Raw genomic sequence first — 7,914 nt, 5'->3', positions numbered from 1 at the left:
TTGGTTCTACCATCTATGAGCTATGCAGTATTGGAACAGTTTTACTCAACTTCATTCCTTTTTTAAAAGCTGAAGATACTAATAATACGTATGACATTATTGGGAGGCATAAATGTATTATTAAATGGGAAAATTTTATTTCAGTGCCTGACATAAGACAGGCTCTCAACAGAGTTTTAGAATAAAGGAATGAATGAACGAATTAATGCATGGTAGTCATGGCAGTGAGGATTTGAAATTCATTTGTAATATTCAATTTTTGAGAAGACGTGAGAACTGGAAAAGTTTATTACAAAGAGATCATTTATAGACCAATGCTTCTCATTAATATGTATGCAGACAATTTTAACAAAATCAAATCCTAAATGAATGTGAAATACCTAAAATATAATAAATCATAGCTGAGGTGGTTTATTTCAGAAATGCATGTTTCATTTAGCATTTAAATGTAAATTAGTGTAATTCACCAAATTAACAGACTGAAGGAGAAAAACCATACATTTATCCCAATGAATGCAGAAAAAGCTTTTAATATAATTCAATACTCATTGATAAAAAAATTCTTAGCAACTTAGATATAATTAGGAACTTCCTTAATTTAATAAAGAGTATCTACAAAAATATCACAGCAAATATACTCAGTAGTAAAAAGCTATCCCATTAAATTTTGGAGGAGGTAGAAATATTTGCAACTGATGCTTCTGTTTAATATTGTACAGTAGGCACTAGCAAGAAAAAGAAATACAAGGAAGAAACAAATGATTATTTTCAGATGGTATTATTGTGTGCACAGAAAAATCAAAACAGCTTACAGAGAAAATATTATAATTTATAGGTAAAATTAGTAAGTTCATGTAAGTTCAAATGTATTTTTAAAAAACATTGTACTTTATATATAAGCAAAGATTTTTAATAAAATTTAAAGAACATATAATTTACAATAGTATTTAAAATATATATCACCTAGAAACAATTCTAAAAAATACAAATGTACAGGGCTTTTAACAGAAAGCAAACTGTATTGAGATAAATTAAGGAAAATGAATTGGAGGAACATATCTTGGCTGTGGATTGGTAGACTCAATATTATAAAGAACTCAATTCTTCCCAAAGTGGTGTATAGTTTAATGCCATTCTAGTCAAATTTACAGCAAGCATTTCTTTGTGAAAATTCATCAAGTAATGCTAAAATTTTTATGAAGATGCAAAGGGTCTAGAATAGCTAAGAACATCTTGAAGAAGAATGAAGAATTTACACTACTATATTTTACAAAAATATATATGCAATATTAAGACAGTGTGTTATTGGTAAAAGGTTAGGCAAACAAAAAGAAAACAGAATAGAAAATTCAGAATTAGGCCTGAAAATTTAGTCATATAATTTATGACAGAGATGACACTGTGGTACAGAGGAAATAGATATTCACTTTAATAATATTTTGATTAACTGGATATTCACATTAAAACAAAATGAATCTAACCCCTACCTCACACCATATACATGAGTGTATATCAGATGGAGTGTAAATTGAATGTTTCTCAAAAGGGTAAATATTTATATGTGTTAACATTGTACATACATGTAGAGATATTTTTAAAACAAATATAAACTAAAAAGGAAATCTCTTACATATTTTTAGACAGGTGCTAAAAGGAAATACATGTGTTTCATATAATGAGGCACAAAATGAGGTCCATTAAGCTGGCTGCATAAGGACTTCTGAATATTGGCAATTCCTATATTTAGTCATAAACTATTGGTTATGCACAGGGCAAATGATCATTCTTATTTAGTAAGTATTTGTTTAAAATATGCAAAGATTAAGCAACATTGGCAGATTTCTTAATTCTGATTTATGGTTGTGACATTATGTATAAAATCTCTAAATTTCTAATATTAATCTTCTACTAAGTATGAGAAAAAGTATGAAGTGAATTGAATCTTTTTACATATGATTTTCTTGATACTTTTTAATTTACTTTGGGGAAAATGACTGAATTAGGGATAAATTTAGATGGATGTTTTCTTACGCTGAATCTTTCTGAAAGCAACTCAAAATGATAATATTAAAAATATTTATCCCCAATATTTGACTTCCTATTACTTTTAGCTCATTTTTAACATTAGTCTTTTTTTTCCATTTCTGTGAAATTTTTAAACGTATGGCTTTCATAGTCTCCTCATATATATTTTAATTTAGCATAAAGTATGATTTATTACTCTCACATTGATGTTTTAAAATTCATTCTACAGCAGTTCCTTTAAAAGGAAACATTACTTTGTGTATTTTCCCAACAAACAGGTGGTGTGGCTTCTCCACTGTCAAAGTGACAGCCACCCAATCACAATCATTTCTCAAATAGTATGCAGTGGAAAAATAACATCTGTAGATTAATGAAAACCAGCTTGATAAAATGAAGCAGGTGGTCATATTAGCATTTCTGCAGCTAGAGAAATTCATCTGCAGAAACTTGATTTACAGTAATTTTAACCTGATTTATTCTTCATTATAAGTAAGTGCACTACCCAAGAGATGTGTGAATCATGGTACTTAGTGAAATAAACATATTTGGAAGATTATTATCTTGCAGAGAATCTGTTGTTACTCTTCTTGAACAATGTTCTTTAGAAATCATTTGCTCCTTTGCTTTATTTAACTGTAATAATGTATATCTGGGAAAAGCAGTATTTTTCTTTCCATAGGTAAAAATAATCATATATATATATATGTATATATATAGTTTTGGAATTAAATATATCTTCATTGATGACATGCAATTAGGCTTTTTATAATATGCTTCAAAGACATTTTTAATAGAGGCAAGACATACATGTGTATAGGCATGTTGTAATGAATAAAACAGATTATATATATGTTTTATATAGTATGTATACATATATAGATACATATATATTAGATATTTTAATATACTTTTATATCTATATAAAGCATTACCCTTGTGAATATACTCATTTCATATACATTTTATATATGTATAATGTGTATACACACACACACACACACACACACACACACACACACACACTGAATATATAAAAACAATGGTGGAAATAATTTAGAAGGCCATAAATAAAAGATGTTCTTTGATAGATTGTTATGCAATTGTTAAAAGGGACAGTCAATCTGTATGCATAATGATTGTGGATTAATGACCACAATACATTATTAATGTTTTTTAAAAGAGCAACTTACACAAAAATATAGACAATTTAAAATAATGCACAAATGGACTCGGAAAATTATACTGAAGTACACATATCCAGATGTCAATCAGGGTTTTTTTCTAGAGGTGATTGAGTCTTTTATTTTCACTTTATATAAGTTTATATATTTGAATATTTTCTCATTGATTTTGTATTCTTTTTTACTTTTTGAATGTGTAAAACATTTTTTAACTGAGGAGGAAATTATTAATTATTGATAAACTCTTCCTTGAAAGGAAGTAGTCTTTCTAATATGGGAAAGTGATTCCTCATGTGCTAGAGATATTCCTCCTATATTTCATAACCTACATAAAACTAGTTTACTTTTACTTAAAATACTTGATTATAATCATGTGTGAAAATCTCTAAGTCTCATTCAAAGTAACTAAGATGTAAATACATTTTGAATATCTATATTTCTTAGAAAATATAATTTTATGTGTATGTGACATGAATATTACCAACTAAGTATTGCAACCAATTGAAATACATTCAAGAACCTGATTGTGAATTCTTTAGCATAAGGGATACATAATACAGACTATACTGAGTCATCTGCAACTGGCCCATGGCAATTTGTTCATTGCCAGACATTTATAGAACAGTCATCACAAGCTAGAATAATATTAGAGACATTGACAGATTCTAGCCTTTTATGTATTACCTGTTCAGATGGACCTGTACCTACATAAGTATATTCTCTAGAACTGGAACTGTATCAGCATAAATGCATTCACTACAACGTTCAAAATTTGAATTTCTTCTGAGAATGCCAGGTCAATGAGTTGACCTTGTTCTCTTGTGGGTAGTTTTTAATCTTTATTTGTCTCAAGCTACTTTTTGTAGGTCTGTAGCAAATAATGAATAACATTTTTACAATAATTTTCATCAGAGATTTGTAAGGAGATTCAGGTTCTGATAAAAATCATATTGTTTATCATATCCTTCCCTTTGCACTCTGCCCCACACTCAGCAACTCCAACACTCACTGGCCTCCAAATATGCTACTGAAATTGAGTTACATAAATAAGATGAATGTTGAACTAAAGAGAAAATAAGTTATTTTAAATATGAGATAACATGATAAGGTGGAAATTGGAAAGAACAATTTCATTCAATTTAGGCTTGTTGGGGCATTTCAGTAAAATAGATGTAAGTGTAGCTTAGGTCCTTTCTAGCTCTACATAATCATCTTTATGAGAGACTGCCAAATTATTAGATGCCTGATTTCTGGCACATTGCAGGCCTCTTCTGCTCGATTCATTTTTCAACAGGATTATGATGGAACTTCAACCAATGAAATCTTTGGCCACATTCTTAGCAATGCTGGGCCAAGACCACAAGAACTGTCTTTGCTTTGCAGGCCCTATCCATTTAGCTAGATGACTTTTCTTTTTTTCTGATTAACTGTCTACACTGTCTTCTCTGAGATTTGGTTCTCCCACTCTTCCTTTCCCCATTCTCAGGTCCAGTTGAGTACAAAGTATGGTATAATATTTTCTAACATATCCAATTTCTATCTGCCTGATTTTCATTCTTTTTTTTTAAATTTACATTCACCATTGAGAAACAGATCAGGACAAGGAAGATGGGTGCAACAAAAATAACACATATGAGGAAATGTATAAAGTTACTAAAAATCAACCAAAATTTTCACAGTCTCCTTCTTTGGAGTCAGATTCTCCAAAAGCTGACACTGAGACAGCTTTTGTTAGGAGGATTTGTTAATGATTTCCTAAGGAAATGATCCAAGAGAAATCTTTAAAGTGATAGAGGAATCAAGAAAGGGAAGCAGAGGAAGCCAAACAGAGGTATAATTTCACATAAAATCCCAGCTTCAGTCTGATTCCTGGGGAAACTTAAAAATGAAACTTACGCCTTACAGTCTGTCTTGATTTGAGACAAGGTCCTTCGGCTTTCTATCTGCAGCACTAGTTGGCCATTCGCTAAGGCCGCCCTGGGGATATAATGTAAACTCACACCTGGGCATCTCTAGCTCTCTGTGCATGAGAGGAAAAGTGGTCCAGGAGCTCAAAGGAAGGTCTCTGAAGAGAGTCACAGGTGCAGGTTGTGAGAAGCAAGGTACACAGAAGCTGCAAGATGGACTTACAGAAAGGACAAAGGGGATTCCAAGAGATTTGGCCAGATAATGGAACTTTTACAGTCTCTATTAAAATGTAGTTAGGCTTGACTTGCCTTTGTCAAGTGTTTTCTGCCTTCTTATTTCTCCAGGATGATTTGTTCTGCCTCCTTTGCCTTTCTTCAAACTGTTTCTCTGAGGTTGGAAGTCTTTTGTAATAAGTTTATAAACAGCCCCCTGACCCCCACCTCTTCTTCAGAACAACAACAAGAGAAATAGTTTTCAGGAAGGCAAGATAAATATGAGAAATATCATCTTAGTACTATTCAAAGAAACACTGCATCTTTCAAAGAATGCCACATCCAACCTAGTGTAGTTTTTGGGAAATGCTGATGTAGTTGGGTCTATTGGGAACAATTATGATATTTAGATCTACTTTTAAAAAGTACCCCAACCCCAGGGAAAATGTCCTACATCTAGAGTTGTACCACTGGGTGACAATTAAAGATGTTTTTCTATCATGAAATAAAATTCCCAGGTATGATTATGTTTGTCTTTAGCTCCTGTTTCATTTGAAGTCTCATAACCCTTCGTGGATATCATTTTAATTGGATCTTTCAAGTTTTTGACTCATAGAAAAATGATGTGTATACTTATCTGATGCCTTCAAGCAGGCTAGGCTCTCCTTAAAATAATAAAAATATTCATTGAGATATAATATTACAGGCTCTATGCTCCACAATTTATAAACAAAATATCATTAACTTTTCAAACCAATTGTAAACATTATCTTCTTTTTATAGATGGGAACAATGAGGTACTAGTAACCAGCCTGAGAGCTAATAAATAAAAATATTCTTTAGAGTAAAAGTTTTATATAGCGAAACCTAGACTAAGGTCACTTAACCTAATATACCTGTAATCACTGTCATTTAATGTCAAGTGTAATTAAGGTTCTAGCTTAAGAGTCAATGAATAATTTAACTGTAAAATATTTTGGTTGTTTAATACCAGTGGTTTTCTGGCCATCACTTCCATGGCAATCTGCTCTAGAATGTGTATTCATTGCTTCCATCTTTGCTGAAATTGATTATTTTGTTTTGCCCTGAATAAGAAGCAGATTCACTTATTACATTTTACTTATTTTATATTTCCTTTAATTTTCTTTTTCTTTTGAGACAGGAGACAGGAGTCTCGCTCTGTCACCCAGGCTGGAGTGCAGTGGCATAAACTTAGCTCACTGCAACCTCCGCCTCCAGGGTTCAAGCATTCCTCTCACCTCAGCTCCCCGAGTAGCTGGGACCACAGGCACACACCACTGTGCCTGGCTAATTTTTTGTATTTTTGGTAGAGACAGGGTTTCACCATGTTGCCTAGGCTGGTCTCAAACTCCTGAGCTCAAGTGATCTGCCTGCCTCTGCCTCCCAAGGTGCTGGGATTACAGGCATGTCCTTTTAAGATTTTAAAAAAGAAATGTTAAAAAAGATTATAGTGCATACACAGATCTATTTTCCAACAGGTGTGAATGTTTGTATGCTTAACATGCATTACCCTTCTGCCTTGTAGCTCTTCTGCTATATTTCAGCAGAACATCTGGATCCAACCTAACTTGGATCTGCAGTTTATTTGTTATAATCACTATATTAGAATATATTGGACTTCTTGTGTTTGTGATCTTCACCTGTTTAGGAGACATAACCTGAATTCCCTTGCTGACCATGCTTGCATTTTAAAGAAACTATACTTTCAACTAATATTTTAAAAACTTATCTTTTGAACACGACATTTTTAATAATTAAAATTACTTTTTATTTACTATTTTCTTTTCAGTGCTTTTAAAATCCTTTTTGAAAAAGTACTGGGCAAGATTTTATACAGTAATGCCAGCCAGAGATCAGAGGTCTTCAACATGGAGTTGAGGAAATGAGATGAGAAGGGAAAATTCCAGAGATAGTACAAAGTACACAAGGACCTGAGGGTCAGAACTTAAATATATTGGTTCCCAGCGCACTGAAGGATGTAAGCAGTGTAGATAAGGTTTATGTGGTTTCTGGAGGGAGTTATTTACTCCTTGACTAAGCACACCTTTCAGAAGAGCCAATTCTCATGAAAATAACAGGAGCAAAATACAGTTTTGCAAAGGGAAACTATTAATACTTACATTGGACCTTTGTCTTAAGACTTTTGTCTTTTTGAATAGATTCACATAAACAGTAAATGCTTAATATTGACTTACTATTTTAAAATGAATTGTCTAGAATCATAAGTGATATTTATGGCACTTAAACAATCAACCTGACCAGAGTTTAAACAGATATGGCAAAGTTTATCCTCATACATGTAATCTACATTATAATTTAAAAGATCAAATGTTTAGCAATCAAGCACGTTTGCAGAAAACTTAGCATGTCCAGCAACACAAATTGAACTTCTACAAATTAAAGAGAATCCAAGATCTCATAGTTCAGTGGTAGTGGACTTCTGCATTTAAGATTTCTGACTGGCAGATTAAAGGGGAGAAATCAATGTAGGATACAGGGAAGAGGTAAGAGTGATAAGAGTGATACAGAATGTGCTTGGGCTGTTAATGAGGTGGAAGACACTATCA

At 32.2% G+C, this 7,914-nt stretch overlaps 1 annotated feature.

Moving 5' to 3' along the window:
• Positions 7,215-7,415: a silencer, noted in NCBI's record as "peak5329 fragment used in MPRA reporter construct". NCBI's record gives its function as "represses an SCP1 promoter by STARR-seq MPRAs in K562 erythroleukemia cells {active_cell/tissue: K562}" and the evidence as "EXISTENCE:reporter gene assay evidence [ECO:0000049][PMID:32103011]".

Source organism: Homo sapiens, chromosome 5 (genome assembly GCF_000001405.40).
Source record: "Homo sapiens chromosome 5, GRCh38.p14 Primary Assembly".
Lineage (NCBI taxonomy): Eukaryota > Metazoa > Chordata > Mammalia > Primates > Hominidae > Homo > Homo sapiens.
The sequence above is the reverse complement of the archived record's forward strand: the minus strand, read 5'-3'. Positions and strand labels throughout refer to the sequence as shown.